This window comes from Homo sapiens, chromosome 9 (assembly GCF_000001405.40).
Source record: "Homo sapiens chromosome 9, GRCh38.p14 Primary Assembly".
NCBI lineage: Eukaryota > Metazoa > Chordata > Mammalia > Primates > Hominidae > Homo > Homo sapiens.
In genome coordinates this window covers 95,965,678-95,985,638 of record NC_000009.12, presented here as the reverse complement: position 1 = coordinate 95,985,638, position 19,961 = coordinate 95,965,678, and the positions used below count along the sequence as shown (strand labels likewise).

At 35.1% G+C, this 19,961-nt stretch overlaps 1 protein-coding gene across 15 annotated transcripts in view; it reads right to left on the bottom strand.

Moving 5' to 3' along the window:
- ERCC6L2 (ERCC excision repair 6 like 2) overlaps window positions 1-19,961 on the bottom strand; it is a 165,402-nt gene that overhangs the window by 55,454 nt on the left and 89,987 nt on the right. For 6 of the 15 annotated variants that reach the window (NR_164677.1, NM_001375291.1, NM_001375292.1 and 3 more), the window contains 4 exons: window positions 18,925-19,077; window positions 14,983-15,063; window positions 12,551-13,706; window positions 7,424-7,578 (listed from right to left, as the gene is read on the bottom strand). Coding sequence is in view for 14 of the 15 variants with exons in the window: in NM_001375291.1 (NP_001362220.1) it covers window positions 7,424-7,578; window positions 12,551-13,706; window positions 14,983-15,063; window positions 18,925-19,077 (1,545 nt within the window). In the remaining variant the exon portion in view is untranslated. The other 9 variants (XM_047423357.1, XM_011518641.4, NM_001375294.1 and 6 more) reach the window with 8 other exon arrangements.

Below are 19,961 nucleotides of genomic sequence, written 5' to 3'. Positions count from 1 at the left end.
ACTCTCTAGATTTATTATTGCTATATGAGGATGCATGGGTTCCAGGAATATCTTTCTGACATCATTCTTCATGTTCTCTCTTCTTGAATGGATTTCCTATACCAGCATTATGGCCAACAGATGACATATAATGACAATGAAGAACACCAGCATTTATGCTGCTCAAAGGTGACTCATAACTTTACATTAGCTGCCAGCCAGTATACTCACTTTAACATTAACTTGTGGTGCAAAGAGTTGAGGAGACTTAACTTGTGAAAATGGTTGTAGGGACTGGCCTCACGCAGTACTTCCATGCGGGAATTATCACAAACATTTTCTAAACTCCCACTCTGTGCTGCCCACGGCTAAGTGGTAGTGTTTACAGGAGTATATGAGAGTGTCCCATGGTCCTGATTCTTAAGTAGCTTGTAACATACATGAGGAAAAAACGAATCCACATGAGGTAAGTAACAACAGTGACAGGTATACCACATCTACAGTGATGACTGGCATAGAGAATGGGCACTAAAGGAACCTGAAACTGAGTGATCCCTGAAGACTGAGGCTTTGTGGAAAAAACGGAACTTGAATTGGGTCAAATTGGAGTGGAACATCAGATAGGAGTTGATATGGCTGGAGGTGTAGGATAAGTTAATCCATCCAACACCATGATTGCCAGGCAAACCTGAAAACACTTCTCACTGAGAGAAAGAGATCATTCCCCTGACTGATTAACTATGTTCGTAATATATTTAATCAATGAACAATGAACAATGTCATCTCCAGATAATTTCCAGAGAAACTATGAAAGTTGTTCATGGAATAAATCATCTTTAAAATTCTCAGAACATAAAGGTGGGGTTCATTGTACCCTGACAAAAACTGAAAACCTGACTTTATCCCACAAGTATTTATTCATAAAGTATTAATTATATGTAAGATTATTTTAGGTTATCAAAGATGAATCAGACATATCTTACTATTTCAAAGTTCAGAGTTTATTAGAAAAGAGAGATATGTATATAATCATAATAAAAAATTTGAAAGTCATACTTTAGAATAATCACAGGACATAGAAAGTACTACTGGCTGAAGCAGAAAGAGTGTAAGAGGAAGGCTTCTTATGTCCAGCTGAGGGAAGAACTAGGGCAGACTTTGTGGAAGAGAGGACGCATTTGAGGTAGATCTTGAATGGGAGAGTGATGTGGAGATTTGGGGGATCAGAAATATAAGGCTGAAGGTTATTCCAGGTAGAAAAAAAGCTTAAGAAGAAAAAAGTAAAAACTACATAGCTATGTAGTTCACACATGTATGTATTACATATATATATACACATATAATATATATTTATACATATATAACATATAACATGTATATCATATACATAACATACATGTATGTAGTTACATAACATATATAACATATATAATATATACTTTATCCATATACATGTTAGAGATGTACATATTTGTATGTATATGTAACATATATACATTATATGTATATATGATGTATTATACATATATGTATAAACATATATGTTATGTATATGGTTTATATATACGTATGTATATATATCTTAAAGGAAGGATACATTCAACCCATGTGAGGTTTTTGTGTAACTGCTAAAGTGAAGGTAATTCTTCACAGACAAGTTATCTTGAAAAATTAAAAGACTGGTTTGTCATATTGGAAAAGTAAAATTGAAATCGCCAGAACAAAGTAGACACCAAAGGAATTGAGGGAAAAGCACAAGAAAACACGAAAGGGTCAAAGACCACAGCGATGTAAGCCTCCGGCCATTGTTGAGCCCTGGGGCCTGTAGGGAGTTACTTATCCTCTTATTTTCAAAATTTAGGAAAATGAGATGTTTGGGTTAAATAGTCTTCAAGAATCCTTCAAATTCTGAAATACTGTAATTCCTTTAATCTGTAATTTTGCTTTATTCACCTATAAAAATTCAGAATTCCTAAGACAGAGGCAGGATTTTCAGATGACAAGGCAATAGGTGTTTCCATTAGGGGGCCATGTCCAATTGATACTATGGTTTTCAGAGAAGGATAAAATAGAATTTGAAAAGGGCTGTTAAGTGCGTAACATTCTTTAATCCACTAGTTAGAGTCAGTCAGAGTTGAATGAGGCCTCTATTCCTAAATTTTTATATCATTGCCTTGAAGGCATTATTTGAAGAACTACTATTTTTTAACTATTTAGATCTTGTGACTATTCTCAACAGAGAAACTGTTCAAAGAAGACTTATAGCTATTTTCTATACAATTGGAACAGTGACCAGCTGGGAGAAGAGTTGGAATCAAACTACTTCCTAACAAGCAAAGATCATTTCTGTCATTCCCAGTCCATTTTTAAATTAGCTTATAATTCCTTTCAAAAACATTTTTCTCTATAGCATTTTTCATTAGAAATCAGCCACAGTTCAAGGCAGGTACTTCACATAAAATTAAAGGACTGGACTAGATATCTTTTTAAGGTAGTCTAAAATATTCTGAGTACTATTAGCAACAAAAATAATAGCAGGCTACTGTAGAGACTTATTTACGCATCACCCCTATTGGTAAGCAATAATCATAATTACAATAATAAAAATGTACATTTTTTGAGTAATTTCAATGCCTTTCTTGCAAGGTGTTGAATGTCTTTTGCACACATCAGCTCATCAGTTACATTAGTGCATGAATCCTGGTATCATCACTGTGTGGAAAGATGCCACAGCTTCTCGTAGCCTCCAGCTAGCAGGGGAATAGGTCTCTATGTTTATAGTTTAAAAACTGGATTCTCCTTCCTTTAAGTAGCAGGTATTTTCTACTCAAATGACGTATTATATTCTGAATCAGAATGCTATCTACAATCAATCCTAGTTCTAGGTGTAGAAACACAAAAACCTTTTTCGTGTCAATACCAGTCACATAATTTCATATATATATATACACATATTTTAAAATCTTGATTTCTACTAAAATTATTTGAAAGGATAACTTTCTGATACAAATGCCATAAAATTACTGTCTAGCTACAAAAAGAAAAATGATAAGACCATGAAATATCCCACCCAGTAAGAGTTACATGCTGAAACCATAAACCTTGCTTACTGGACTACTTTGTAAACCAGCCATTTGTGAACAATTACTTTAAAGCATCATGCCATTCATTATCCTGAAAAACAGGATAATGGAATGCTCTATCTCCCCAAAGTCTGCTCACTGTAAACAGTCCATCCCTCCTTGCTGACTCCAAAAGCTGTATAAACATACTGCAATCAAACCCACCGTAGCTCACAGAAATCCTTTAAGTAATCTACAGAATGCCAATCTAATACAAATACAAGAAAGAGAAGTTCTTACTAACACAATATTTTGTATTTACAGTATTCTGAACAGTGCTTAAACCTGCACTGGTTATATAAAAGACACTCCCCCACGCTACCTCCCACCCCAGGCTGACAGCATGCTTAGTTCTCTCATTTACACCACACTGCAATAACATAAAGAGGGGCTTACTATTAATCCAGGTTTTACTACAAAGCGACCCGTTATTTCTCTGTCAAACACTTGCAAGAGTGCCAAGTGTCTGTCATCCAATTCAAGGGATTAAGTCTTCTTTTATAGTCTGATACTTGTACCAATTTATAAAAATACAGATATAGTTTCTTAGAGTTGGTCACAGTCTATATTTTGGCTTGGATTCAGGCAGCAGAGGTTGACTATGACAGCTGGCAGGAAACTGAGGGGAGAATACATCCTCCCCCTTCAGTCACCACATCTCAGTTGCCATAGTGATTAATCCTTAATTGAAGGCTGTCTTTGTACATTTCTTTTCAGAAAATTTTAAGTAAACTTAAGTTGAAAACGTGCAGTTGACTGAGAAAAGGAGGTATCACATCACAAACAGGTACAGTTCAGCTCCGTGACATACTTTCATATAGTAAAAGAACAGATGAACTCTAATAAAGGTATTATCAGTTCCTTCAAATGCTTAAAACACTTCTTTTTCGCCTGAGCTTAAACCTAAGTCAGACAGGTTTTCTCTTCTGTTATCAGACATCTCGTCTTGTTAAAATGAGCTGTTTTCAGAAATGGTTCTAAAATATCAAAATACAATTTAAGGCAAAATGTGTTCTTATTTTGCATATTACTTTACATAATTTGTACTATCAAATAACAATGGTATAATTCAAAATTTATGTTAGGAGAGACAGAACATTTATAAAATATGTTCTATGAAGTTAATTTATAAAATTATAAACTGTAAGAAACCAAAGGAAACACTGAAAACAGTACATTTTACTCCTTTTTAAGATACATGGTTGAATTTGAAGAGTAGATTCAGTTTTTGTCATTTTGGTTATCAATAATTACTGTACATCAAATAATTACTGTATATGGAAAAACTCTGAAAGACCATAGGATCTTATCTAGGATTATGGTGTTTATTACTTCCCTTTTACAAGTTTTCAATTTAGTATATTCCTTTGCAATCTAGTTAAAGGTTCTAATTCAGACTCTATGGTATTCTTTAGAAATTGAAATACTGGTACACTGTGGCAACTGTTATTTGTGTACTGATTTCATAAAACAAATAGGATTTATTTTCTTACTGAGACAATACGTCTGCAACTGGCTACAGACACGCATGCACACAATCTTTCCAAACACAAGTAAAGTTCTTTAATAAAACTGTGATGACAGACATGAAGCACTCAGAGGAATTACCAGGAACCGAAAAGATTCTAGATTGAGCCCCAGATGAAAGATACTGTAACATCGGTGGGAGGTCTGAGGTTTTTTGGAGACTTCAGGATCAAGAAGTTTGCAGGAATTTTCTAACACTATGATTGAGTCTCTTTTGTTCTTGCTTCATTTCCCTTTCTCTTTGTTTATTCTCTTTTCTTCTCGTAACTTTTTAATTTTTTTCAAAACTGCAAATTCACTATTGCCACCCACTGCCACACCAGCTGCAAAACCTCTGAGTAACATAAATCTCTCTAGCCAAAGATGATGAGTGTGTTTCAATGATTTCCTCATTAAAGGTGCTGAAGTAATATTGACGCGATATGATGAAATCAGTGATTGGGAACACTTTTTTCTCAGAAATTCTGTGAGACAGCTTTGAAATGTTAGAATGAAATTTTGCTGTATCAATTACTGACTGAAGTCAGCCACTGAAATGAGTGTTTCTGCAGACTGTGTTTGGGCTGCTAGCAATGGTGCCATGGGAATGGACCTCCCATTTAGTGGCTTTAAAACTTCACCACAATGTAGTCATTAAACAGCTAATTCCTTTATCTTCTCTGAAAAGGGTTTATATTAAGTTGGTGTATGTGTGATGAGGGAGATAGATGGCCTCGAAGGGTATATTATAACCCCCAGGGAGTAGGTATTCCAATTTGTTTCCTAGCAAGAGATGCCCCTCCCTCTGAAAATCACTGTGAAGAGACAAGGTTTCTAATGAGATTGTGTTGTCCACCTCAAAAATATTTCGACTGAAAGAGCTCACAGGCCAACTGTGTTTCCAGCATTTTCGTTTTTATAACTTTGCTTAAGAAACAGGTTGCTTCTCAGATCAATTGTTGCAGAAATTATATGCTTGTAAATTTCTTCTCTGATAAATATTTAGATAAGCTAATGACCAGTATATCCAGTTATTTCATTAACATCCACTACAGCGGTTTGCCAAATTATCTGACCTTTCACATTAAAATTTGTTTGTATGGAGAAGGACATGGTTTTAAAAAAGGGCACAGTTTAAAAAAAAACCTAATAAAAAATTAGCTACCTGTTTAAAAGATTCTGATATACTCTTTATCCTAACAAAGCAAGTTTCTGGAAAACCCAACATAATTCCGCCTGTCTTTTTCAGATGGCACATACAAGGCAGTCAAACTGTAGAAATGCTGTTTAAAGTGTTGGTTGAGAGATGGTATATTCCTGGATCAAATGAGAAGATGAGTATAAAAAGCATATTTGGGTCATGAAAGAATGCTTTCACGAGTTGTAGTCTGGCACTGGGCCTATGGATTACACTGAAAAATGCTAGAAAGGATAGCCTTTCAAAGTCTGTTATTAGATTTATTCTAGGGATATTATAAGACAACTGACTCTTCACTATATCGTTCTGCGGTCCCCAAAAAACACCAAGTGACAAATTTCCTTCAAAGTGAGTGCTAGGAAAAGCTTTGCTTCTCCTAGAACCAGTGTTATTTTTTTCTTTTTCCTTAAGGACAAACATTTCACTCAGCCTTTCTCAGCAGGGTGTTATGGCATTTTGGGCAGAACAATTCTTTGCATATGGGAGTGCCTCCCCATTGGCCCCCTCAACCCAGTCCCCTGTCCAGGATAGCCATTTGGAATCCCTGGCTTCCAGACATTAATGCCAGCTAGGCATTCAGTCATTGTGACCACCCAAACTGCCCACACACATTTCCACATGCACTAGCTGAGATATCACTACATAGATAGCTTACCTCCTTTGTTTTTCTACCAGGAAAGTCAATAAAATTAGCCATTTTAATATAATATCTGGGTAGAACATATTATGTTCTATGCATTTGCATTCTAACTTTCTCCCTGTCTTAAACTTTCAGTTTAATTTGCATTTTCTCTGGTCCTAAATTTCATTTTGTACTCTGGTTTTATTGTTAAGGTAATTTAATTCCTTTGTCAAACCAGTGAGGTACGAATAAATTAATTCCCTTGATAGTTCAGAGGAATTCTACCCTCACCTTCATTCTTAAAAGTATAATAGCACTAAGTTGAAATAAAATATTGGTATTATATACAGTATGCATTCTGAACTCTTGCCCATAAAGTAATAGTAAAATTACTCCTGAGGCACTTAGCTCTTAGAAAATAATAAAGAATAATAAGCCAAACACAAGAAAATATTTTTTAAAAACCTTTGATGAAAGTGACTATGTATAAACAAAAATATCACAACAGCAATTTTAAGTGGGAAGAGCCCATAGGAAGTATTTATGACTTTTAACAGTATAAAAACCCTTTTGCTAAAAATATAAATTCTATATGAAATGAGTTTTCTATGTTGGTCTTCATTTTAGGTGAAAAATTGTGGAGCAACCTAATCACACACTTTCCTTTTTCCATATAAGCAGAAATGGTTTTGGTTCTGATTGAACTACATGATTCCCTCAGATTCCTTTTCATTTTGGGAGTACTGGCCAATTTTTATTGAGAGAAACTATTAAGCAACTCAACATGATTAGGTATTTGGGTATAAATTTGTTGTTTAATCTAAAACGTCTTCAATGACTACAGTTCCCAAATGGTGTTTTGATTTTTACACTTATTTGTATGTCACTTACAGTTTTTGTTGCTACTTTTGAGGGAGTACTTAGAGAAGATCCTATTGAGTAACTTCTGTGAAAAATGAGGTAACTAAAGATGATACTACCCTATATTTTTCTTACCTTAGAACTGCAAACAGCTATGTTAGCAGGCAGCTGAGAAAACTGCTTCAACTCAAATACGTCATGTGCTGCCCATCGGCTCATGTGATTTTCAGCTTTGCTCGATCCAATTACATTCTGGTTTGAGTGAATATAAGCCACTTCCTGAACGCCATCTAGGAGGTAATTTATGTTTATTAAGTGATGTATCAGTATAAAGCAATATGGTTCCATAAAAACACATTATTCTTATTTTTAATACTCAAGAGAAACATCAACATCACAATATTCTTTAGGAAAAATATTGAAAAGAGAAAGAGTTCAAATATGTTAGTCTGGGTTACCTTGGAAATGACTTTTCCTTCTCATCAATGTGAGATGAGAACTACTGATAGGTAACAATCTTTAAACCTGAAATGGAGGTTTTGGCCAAAAGAAAAGTCAGGGTTGAGTAGGGTCCTCTCTATGAATTTGTTTTCATTGTTAATTAAAAAAAAAAAAAGATGTTCACTAATTTAAAGAATGAAACTAACCTTATCTGTTCCTTTAAACATGTACTTGATTACAGTGATGGAATGAGAGCATGGGGTTTATGACCAGGGAGTTTCGTTTGATTGGCTTTGCTCAGTTTTACTGTTTGTATTTTGTCTTTTTTGTACATATGCCCAGAGAATGTCAAGATGAGAGCTTTTTAGGAAATGAAAAAAATTAACTCATGGCTTTTATCTGAAAGAGGTTTAAAAAATGGCTACAATTTTTATTGCTTTGCTTCTAGGCACCTATAATTCATTTTTGAATTGTGATCATAAAAGAGAAAGCTAGAACCAAGGCCTGTAAAAGCTCCCTGCAACAGCTCTGGCAATGAACCTCAGGTATGACCTTCAACAATTGTGCTGTTTTAGTCCTGAACCTCTTCAATCAGAAATTGCCAATCATGCAAACACAAAACATTGTTAAATAATATGATGAGACAGTAACTAGCATAACATTCTCCTTCATTTCAGAATACCAGGTACTATACATGGCACACAGTTTCAAAACCTTCATGGCAGAAAATTTACTCAGATGTTTCTTAATTTTGATGACACGTTACCATTATTCAAAATAGCATTAGTTCCAAATTAACTACTGACACCTTTTACACAGTAAAAACAAACAAACAAAAAACTGAGTTGATTATTTAAAAAAGTTTATGCAATAATTCCTCAAACCTAAAATCTAACTGTAGCACACCAACCAAAGGGTAATTCAGTACTTATTTATAATGACACCAAGATATAAATCATAATTAACTCTTAAACGAGAATGCTAATAGCCACAAAGAAAGCCTCATTTGTATATAATCAAACACAAAAATTAAGATTTCTATAGCAAAATGTCCTTGCTTATATCTCAGCTTCTTTCATATAGTTTTTGGGGAATAAGTCAGACACTTGTGAAGGCAATGCTAACTCTTAAAATCACCATACAGATTCTGGGCAGAGGGTGGTAACAGCAGAAGAAGCAGGAGAATCTCTGAATCTGTACACAAAAGCAGACAGCAACTAGACAGCAAAACCAAAAGCCCATGGACATTTACAACAAAATTAGATAACAAGATACCCTCATGACACCTAAAGTACAAGCAGGTGGGGAAAATCTCCACTAGCTATGAACTCTGCATGGTTTCAGTATCTGTGTGAAAGTAGGAAGCAACAGGGTACCTGACAGACCTAAGAACAGGAGACCCCAGAACTGCCAACAGGTATTCACCGGAAAGCACAAGGGGCCAGCTGGAGAACAGCAGCTGAATCTGGGAAGGTTTGTTGCTCTTCAATGCTGAGAGGGTGCAGAGGGGACACAGTAAGAAGGCCTGGAGGGGCTGGAGCAGGCCAACCACTAGAACTCCCCAAACTGACCCACCAGGGCTCCCACCCAGGTCAGGGCCCAATAAAGAGGAAAAACTGCTGGGAGAGAATCAAAATAAGTAGGATAGGAAGAACAAGGATGAGGGCAAGAAAAGACCTAGAGCAAAGCAAGGGAGAGAGAGCGAGAGGAAAGCCCACCACAGTGCAGCACTCTACATGGAAATAACATACGGATCTCTGTGAGGTGAGAAAAGATTTCCTAAGCTCTGCTTCATTTGTAAAATTCAGGGGAAATAATTTCATATAAAAATGACCAAGGGAAAAGCAGCAGGGTCAAATCTCAAAAAAATTATTGTGAGAAAAAAGAGAACAAGCAGAGTAATATCCCTTCAATGAAAATGTGCTAGAAAGATGTGCTCACAAAACAGAAAAAGACATGAATCAACGTAAATCAGAATTAGAGCAACTCAAATGAGTGATAAGAACTTAGGAAAGACTTAGAAATTTTTTTTTAAATTTCAAAAATGAAGACTAAACTAGAAGGAACATAAGTGGGAATAAACACAACAGATAAGCCTTAAGAGAAACAAAACAACATTTTAAAAAAGCAAAACAAAATGAACAGATAAAGATTTGAGAGAATGTGACAAAAACTGAAGATAGGCAAAGAAGACTGAACATCTGAAAAGAAGTCCCTGAAGAAGAAAGCCAAACCAAAGGAATAGAACAAGTAACTAAAAACACTGGTACAAGCAAATCTTTCCCAAAATAAAATTTGAGTGAAAACAACACTGTGTATATCAGAATATGGACCCAGGATAACCAACATGAAGACACAAGCTAGTAAAATTATTGGACAACAATGAAAAGAAAAAAACCCCCTGGGCATCCAGGGAGAGGCAAAAAAAAAAAAAAAAAGAACATATAATACCACACTTTATGCCAGAAGAAAACAAAGCTACATATTTAAGATGCTCAAGAAAAGACAATGTGAGCCAAGTATTTTACATCCAGCAAAACTTTTAGGTATAAGGGCACAAAACTGTTACTGCAAGAATCTCAGGGAATATTATTCTCATGAACACTTCTTGAGCAATCTACTAGACAGTAAGATTCAGACAACCAGAACGATGCGAGGAAGACTGACATTAAGGACTGATGGGGAGCATGAAATGTGTAGTTACCTGTGGACCAACAGTTAAGTGAAGTCTAAGAGGGGAGTAGTATACAATGCAATGTATCTTTGACAATGAAGACATAGTATATCCATTTTTAAAATGGAAGAAAAGGGAGAGTAGAGGCAAAAACAGATAAACCCTAAATGTTACCAGCAATCAAATGGAGGTAGTACTGTTATTTTATTCTTTGTGTAATATGGGATAAAGCAAATGAGCAAACATGGGGCATTAAAAGTAAATCATTCCCTATATGCTTGAGAACCAGAATTATCAATATTGTAGAAATGGTATTCACATATAATAAAGAGGCTAAATAAGAGCTCTATACTCTCAAATTAAGTATCAATACAAATATGGACGTATAACCTCGAGGTATTTTATCATCACATATGTGTACATACATATATAAAATATATATCACAAATATACGTATACATACACATATATGTGTATAAATATAAAATACACACACACACACACACACACACAAATCTGGCCACTGAAAAGGCCCAAAAATAATAACCAAGTCAACAGTAGCAATGTTCATTACTAGCACCAGACTGTGGTCTTGAAACACACTTTCTCTCTAAAAGAAACCAAGACTTCTTGGAATAATGACTGATTGTAGGTCTGGGACAGAAAATGTATGAGGTGTTCCTGGAACCTCTTGTAAGACTAGACTACAAGGAAGCTTCCAAAATGACTAGCAGCATGCCAAAATGCTTCAGGAACCAAAATATTCATGTCAGAGATTCCCCTCTATCCACAGATAGGACAATGGAGCCTTAATAATATTATTAATTGCAATGAATTGAGACCCACTAAATGTGTTTGAATCAATTACTAAGAAAAGAATGGGTCATCCTTATGGCATATAGACATATTTAGTTTAATACTAAAAACTGGTAAATAAAGAAAGCAATTAGCATTTTTCCTGTCTCTCCCATATGAACTGCGCCACTGGGTAAGCAATAATGAAGGGAAGTAGTGAAGTACCTCTTTACAAAAGCATTCTAAATAAATGAAAATGAAATCGAAAGAAAGAGAAAATATTTTGCTACTCTGAATGAATAAATAAGTATAGGTATTAAGTATCAATGGCTGCTAGGATCATAAAGAGAGAGAATAAACATTTTGTGCCTACTATAGTCTTGTTAAACACTAACTTATATCTTGCCAAAGGAACTGAACCTGAGTCTGATCCAGTCTCAGGAACCAACTGCTCTTTTGCAGGTAATATAGAAGACAGAAGAACATGTTTAACTGCATGGAGAGGGTACAATTAGCAAAATGCAAACTGAGGGAAACTCTGTAAGAGATGGTCCAGGTACTTCCATAGTTACATTGTAAGGCAATGAAAGGGATGAGGATTCCTGTAGATTAAAAAAGACTATATAATATTTTTACAAAATGGATGAGACTGAACCATAATACCTAGTGATATGGTTTGGCTGTGTCCCCACTCAAATCTCATCCTGAATTGTAGCTCCCACAATCCCCATGTGTCATGGGAGGGACCTGGTGGGAGGTAACTGAATGATGGGGGCAGGTCTTTCCCATGCTGTTCTCATGATAGCGAATAAGTCTCATGAGATCTGATGGTGTTATAAAGAGGAGTTCCCCTCTGCAAGCTCTCTCTCTTTTCCTGCCACCATCCATGTAAGACATGACTTGCTCCTCACTGCCTTCCGCCATGATTGTGAGGCCTCCCTAGCCATGTGGAACTGTGAATCCATTAAACCCCTTTTTCTTCAGTCTCAAGTATGTCTTTATCAGCAGCATGAAAACAGATTAATTCACCTGGGGATGCACATTTGGTGATAAAACCATATAAATGTAAATAAGTAATTACTATAGAGGCTAGAATAATTGGTATTTATGGGGGCAGAGGAACTGTGATTTAGATGGGCACATGGAGGGGGTCCTGGGGTAGATGGCAACATTCTCTATCTTGACCTATATGTGGTCTCCCATTTATCCTGCTACCCAACCGTTCCTTATTTGTGCCTCAATGCAGCATCTTGATTTTAGGGCTGTTTTACAAGTTAATTCAAAGCGTCTCACAGAACTATTTGATAAAACAAATATACTTTTTAAAGTTTTGAGAATGTGTCTTTAGTTACCTAAAAATTTATCCATTGATTCATACGACTGCTCTTGATTAACAACTTTCTCATTTGAACATTTCATTGGTTTTCTTGGAATAAAAGTGCTATTTTTCTTATTATGGCTAGGCAATTTTGAAGAAAAACTAGTTCTGTCTCTTATAGTTCTTGGTCTGTGGCTCTGTTTAGAGAAACTGAAGTGGCTGACGGATAAACTCTCATCTGAGGATGAATAATCATCAATAAACTGAGAGTTATGATCCTCATTTGCTGCATACACTTGGTTTGTTTTGTTCATTGTTTTGGGAGAATTGTGAAGTTCTTTTTTGGTTTCTTTTATTCTCTTAAACCTCAATGAACTAGCTCTCTTTCTTACTCTTGACTTGGAAGAAATTTCAATGTCATCAGATTCATCACTGATATCACTGGTGCCTTTTCTTTTCAAAATAGATTTCAGGGTTGTGTTCTCAGGACTTAACTTTTTTGAAATTATTCCATTTCTTTTGTCATCAGTGTTTCGACTATTATCATTATTTCTTGTTTTTACAGTGTGTTCTGTTTCAGAATCCTCAGATCCTTCCAAGGGTGGCTTAAACCTTATACTATTGTCGGGGAATCTCTCAGTTGTGTATTGTGTAGGACAGATGACATCACTATCTTCTGATTCTGTGACATTCTGTAAAATGCAATGTTTATCTGTATTTTTAATTTTTTTCTCGTCAGACTTGGAAGAAATATTCTGTTCTAAAATCTTCTCACTTTTATAAAAAATATGCTTTTCTTTTGGATTTAGGATGTTATCTAATTTCTGATGTTTTGAAGTACCAAGAGAGTCCTGATTTTTCTCACAACCAGCATCTTTGGCTTCTGTTGAAAGGCATGTGGGCTGCTCATCAGAACTTTCATCATCAGAGGCAGTATTTCCATCACTATCCTCAACTGCTTTACATTTTGTTTCAAGCAATTTCGAGAAACCACACTGGAGTAAGGTAAGCTGTCCTGGAGAGCTGGAAGCTTTACTTGAATCGGGTGCTTTGTTTTTGGCAGTCTTTATTCCTGTGGCTCCCACTGGCTCTTCATCACTGAAGTCACTGCAGAGATCACATGCTTCCTTTGCCAGTGGCTCTGCAGCTTGTTCTGTACCTCTGCATTCCTGACAGTCAGGCTGTCTAGGCTATAGGAGAAACAATGACAAAAACATCAGAAAACCTCAAGATATAATGTGGAATCAACTGAAAAGTACTCAACTTTGGGCAGGTAATTTAGGTACAAGTATATCACTTAATATTTTCTAAAAGTACAACATTTAATAAACAAATGTTAAGGATTTAATATCATAGTCTGGTAGTCTTTTCTCTTTCCATGTTGAATATTGTTGCAAAATAAAAAAATTTAAACTAGAGTACCATATAATCAAAGTATTTTGAAGAAAAACACAAAGTGGAGTGTTTGGCTTCTAAGATGCAAGGACACATAATTCTGGCCTCGAAAGTGAAAAGCATACAACTTACTGCTTAAGAATTACTGGAGTTTACTGTCATCTAGCAGATGCTTCCAATCACGCTTTAAGAATAAGACAGATTACAGGAGTTAACAAGGTAAAGAATTCAAGACTGGAAAATTGTTCTAATTGATTAAAAAGGCCGATAGGATCTTGATCACCAGAAATAAAGAATTTTGAAGTAAAATTTGCTACAAATTTAAATTCAATATGTAACCTTTGCACATTAATCAGAGTTAAATATAACCTAGTTTTCTAAAACTGAGGCTCTACTAGTAAAATATTGCGGAAAGTATTATCTGATAATACTTTTGCCAATATTTGAGATTCATATATTTCTCTAAATTTATAGAAATTTCATCCCCAATTTAAACTCATTGGACTGGTATAAATTGATAGTTAAGACTCTAAAAACAAACAAGAAAAAACCAGCAACAATAACAAAAAAACCTTCCACACATGTTTTTTACCTTTAAGATGGCCTTATGATGAAATAAAGATTTGGTGGTACATGAGATGACAAGCTACTAAAAAGATCACAAAATTAAGGAATCAAATATCTACTTTCAGGTTAGAGAATAATTTTGATATTTGGGTTCAATAATTTTAAATACACATTGATGGTGATTTTTCCATTTAACTTACCATTTAGTCAAAAATTATTTATTTGGGATGGGTTAGTTATCTAGGTGGTACTGGATTTACAGTTTGGTGTAGTTAAAATTCAGTTTAGCTGTAAATGCCTGAACTGCTCCTGAATTTGTTCTTATAATATGAATGTTAAATCAGCCTTAATTATTAATTTTATCCATAGTCCTCTGACTTTGTGTCCTTGACTCTTAATTTTTTTTTTTACAGGTTATAAAATTAAGGAAAAAGGAAAAGAAACAAAATTGTCACAGTACATGTTTTCTAGGTGTTGTAGTCTACAGGTTCAAATATTACATACCATTTCCAGTTTGTGTGCTGGAGGTCCCTCTTTCAACCATGTTGTGGCTGTCATGATCCCTGCTTCTACTTGGCCTTCTCTCTATAATGTCAGTAAGAAAGAATGCAAATAGCTATGCAACACAGGGGGTAGCAACAACCAGATAAACAACAGCAATGCATGCTATTCTTGGAGCTAAGAAAGAAAAATTGCATGCAGCTTGCTTTAGCATTCTTAATGTTATTTTTCAACTTGCTAATTAAGAAACTCATATATAAACATTTATATAACATTCTAAAAATACTCTTAATTCTTGTGTTAAAGTTTACTTTTACATACACAGAAAACTAATACTTTCCAGCCAACTTCATTAAAAGTACTAGTGGGAAGAGGGAGAGTGAAGAAATGTGAAATATTTACCCAGTATGATATCCATAACAACCATTCCCATACAATAATTATGGTAAGGACATATTAACATTTCAAACACCACAATGTTGAATATTGGGAACTTGATATTCTAGCCTATATTGTTACTATATTTATTGTTCATATTCATTTAAAAATACCCCTTAGGTGTAGGAGACATCAAAATGAAAAGGTCCACCCTAATATGAAACTAAAAACAATATTCTAGTTATATAACAGGCTTGCTATCTTTTGGGAAAGTATTTGGACTTTAAAGCTTCTGGTGTATCATTTAGCAGAAGTTCTAATGGCCTAGATTCTAGAATATTAAATTCTCCTCAAAAGGAAATCAATTCTCTTTTTAAGGCTATATTTGTTGACAGAGCAAGGAGAAATAATACTACCATCACTAGAGTTACAAATGCCCAACTTAAGAATACAGACACACTAATGGCGTGGTTCCAGCCACCTGGTATCCAGGGCAATGAGTGAGAATCTCCCCTATGGAACTCTAGGGAATGATAGTTTCTGAACTGCTGCAAGTCCTTTATTCTCCATGCCTGGAAGCTATTACAGCAATGGGATGGGAAGCCTCATTCCCAGGCTACCATTTATCTCTGTAACAGAAGCTAAATGACTACAACAGGTGAAAGTGGCAGTACTAGAAATCTTAAAGCTGTTGAAACTCCGTTATTATAGATAAATGGCCACTCCAGTCTTAAGTTGTTCAGGCCAAACACCTTGGAGCCATCCTTAACTCTTCTCTTTTACTCATACCCTGTATCTGACCCGTCAGCAAATCCTGTCAGTGCCACCTGGATAATATATACAGCATCCAGCCACTTCTCATGCCACCCACCACAATCACCCTGGCTCAAGCCGACATCATCTCTCAGCTGGATTACTGCAGTATCCTCCTAACTGGCTTCTTGCTTCTGTCCTTGTACTTCTATAGTCTAGTTTTCAATAGTAAGTCAAGCTAATATAAATCAGACTATGTCATCTTTCTGTTCAGAACCCTCTAATTGCTTTTTGTCTCATTCAAGTAAAAGTCAAAGTTCCTGCATGGTCTGGCTCTCTGTCATCTCTCCGGCTCCATCTCTTGCTCTCTTGCTGACCCCACTCTAACCACTCTGGCCTCCCTGACATTGGAGATCACACGGGGCATGTTCCTCCCTCAGGACCTCTGCATTTGTTTCCCCTATCTAAAACACACCTTCCTCCCTCACCTCTTTGAATACTCAAATGCAGCCTTCAGAGTGAGGGCTTCCTTGACTACCCCATCTAAAACTGCAATGCCCCTTCCTTAACAGTTTCTATTTCCCTTCCCTGTTCTATTTTTTATCCTTAGAACCTATCATAATACATTCCATATTTCACTTATTTATTGTTTATCATTTGTCTCCCCATATAGAATGCAGACTTCTGGTAGACAGGATCGTTTTGTTTATTTTGTTCTTTTATGTATGCAAAGCTCTATGAACAGTACCTGACATTTAGCAGATGCTCAACAAATACTTGTAAAATGAACTCTCAATATCTATCTTTGAAGAGAAACCATAATATAGATAATGGAAAGTCAATGCAAAACAGAATGAAATTGCCCAGAAATCATAAGATTATAAGTGTAAATATTCAAATTTTTACATCTTAAAACATTTTAAAAGAGATTTTATACAACCTTTAAAAATTAAAAATGTCTCACATGAAGTGAAATACTCCTTTTACTTTATGATAGGTACTCCCATTATATGGGGCTAATAATAATATTTAGAAGCACCTTTTGGCCCAAAGCAGCATGAATCTAACCAATCCTGAATAAATTTACATTCTGATTGATGACAAATGAGTAATTTTAATTCAAAATTTAACTTAATAATCAAGTGCCAATGATATGCCTAGCAAGACAAATGTAGGGCATGGATGGCCTTGTCACCCCTTATTAATATCAATTAGAAAATAGGTTAATATTCTTAGTGTTCTGGTATATTAAAGAACTTAAAAGATATTTTTAAAAAAGAAAATGTAAGACATGGATGGTCCTGTCATTAATAAACACTTCTGAAGGTGAAACAAGATATTCTTAGAATAACCAGTGAACAAGAGAACTTTTTTTTGTTTTTGTTTTTTGTTTTTGAGACAAGTCTCTTGCTTTGTTCCCCAGGCTGGAGTGCAGTGGCACGATAAACAAGGGAACTTTTTCTACTTAATAACCTGTCATCCTGATATGTCTTATATAACACTTGTTTAACAAAGAAATAGGTGGTTATTCTGATAAAAACAGGTAACTATGTCATATATGACAGAAAACAGGATAAATAATAAAATGCTAATATTTTTATAGACAATTGACTTTAACATCAATATAGGCATGTCAAGTAGTACTCTGAGATGGAGGTAGCAGCTGGGTTTGGGAGCTGGAGGGCAAACAAAGTTATTGATATGAAAAGGGAAACTGGAAAGAACAAATTCATGAAAGAAACAGCGTATTTAAAAAGCAAGGGGAAAAAACCCCAAAAAGTAGGACTCCAAATGGGCCACTGAATTCAGAATCAAATATAGTTACTATAAAATAGAAACTCAGCAGTATATATCAGAAACTGTATAATAGTAACAACATTTATAGGATTCAAATAATATATACCTTCCTCTCCCCCAGCCATCCATGGTCTACTGTTTAACTTGTTCAGCATACGATTCCTGACATTGCATGGTTATTATGTAAACGTTCTCTTCCACCTCCGGTCAAGATGGTTTAAGTTCCTCAAGGACAGGAACCAATTGCTCCTTGAACTGCCTTTATGGTACTTACTGAATAAATGAAGTACATTAAGATTTTACTACAAAGTCCTGGAAGTCAAGAGAAATATCCTGAAGTTCTCTAAGACTCAGTTTCCTCATCTATACCATGAGGAGGTTGAAAAAGATGATACTCCAGGATTTTATGATACCTATATGAATATCAATTAGAAAATAGGTTAATATCCTTAGTATTCCGGTATATAAAAGAACTTAAAGATTTTTTTAAAAAAGGATATAAAATATTTTGTTTGAGGAATAAGAAACATCTGTATGCTGAGGATGAACACAACAGGGAGAGTTTAAAATACTGGTGTGGAATTTTTATTGGGAACAGAAAACAAAAATCTCCATGAGACATGAGAGTACATCTCAGGGAGTATTTGGTAACTTTTAATTAAAACACATTTTATATTTTTGTTTATTTAGGAAAACCTCTTTTTTTAGTTCCTGACTTCAGCAGCTGTTTTCAAAACTATAAACTTCTCTCTGCCTATTTAAAATTGCCTTGGAGTTCATACTACCCAGCATATACATTTGTGTGTGTGCATTATTTGTAATTATGCATGGGAAAATCTTAGTTTAGAGGTACAATAATTCATTTCTTATTCTCTAAAAGTAAAAATTCCAAGGCATTTTTGATAAAGAAAACCAAAAGTTTCTCTGAAAAGGCAACAGCAATTGTATTTCAGATTTCCTGAGGAAGAAAAACTGTATTTAAAATATTATTGAAAAGGTCAGAGAAGAAGTTCACACCTCCAGGATGTCCTTCGTAAGACAAGACCCTTGGGACCTAAATTTGAAGAGGTTATGGATCCCAAAAAGCTCTCCTTGATGCTCTTTAGATCCTTGAACTGCTTCAAAATATCGTTTGGCATTTTCACTTCCAACCACCACACAGTGAAGTTGCTAAAACAGAAAAAACACAAGACATTTTTGAAGTGTTTGCTCCAACAATATGTCAGAATTTCCTGGCATTCCCTGTATATACACAGCTTTAGCTGGAGCAGGCAGAATCTCCTTAGGGAGGAAATTTTGTTTTAATTTCCCTGGCAGATGTTGCCATTATGGTGAAATAATAATAATCTGGCCAGTCTTATTGAAACAGAGATCTTATATTTCCTATTTTATCTGTTTTCTAACAACTGAGTCAAGATTACATCTCTATAGAATATCCACCTGACATAAATGTTTAATAATAAAAGCATACATTTGAATATACTTTTCTCCTTTTAAAACTCTTATTACAATAGCAACTACTAAAACTGGCAGAAGTAATTACTACATCACTGAAGTTAAATTACAATCTAAAGTAATGATATGATAACCACCTTGGTGTCAAACTAATTGTGGCTTGACTACATTGCCTACTAACAGCAAAAACCCTATCACTGTTTTAAGAAACACTGCATCTTTGACATAATTTTGAATACAGAAAGAACACTGACATGGAACATTTAAAAACACCATTTCAGTATCAACATTAATATGCACTATTTGCTGGATATTTTACTAAATGTAATATAAATATGTAAAATTAAAATACAATCTGATTAACCCCATGTGTACTTTAAAATTCCTTGAAAGAAACAAAGAATGCACAGAATGGAAAATAACTTCAGCCCACTGACGGAGAAATCAGTAAAAAATGATGCTTAAGGGCCGGGTGCAATGGCTCATGCCTGTAATCCCAGCACTTTGGGAGGTGGAGGTGGAGGCAGGAGGAACACTTGATTTGAGGAGTCAGAGCCCAACCTGGTCGACGTGGTGAAACCCCTTCTCTACTAAAATAC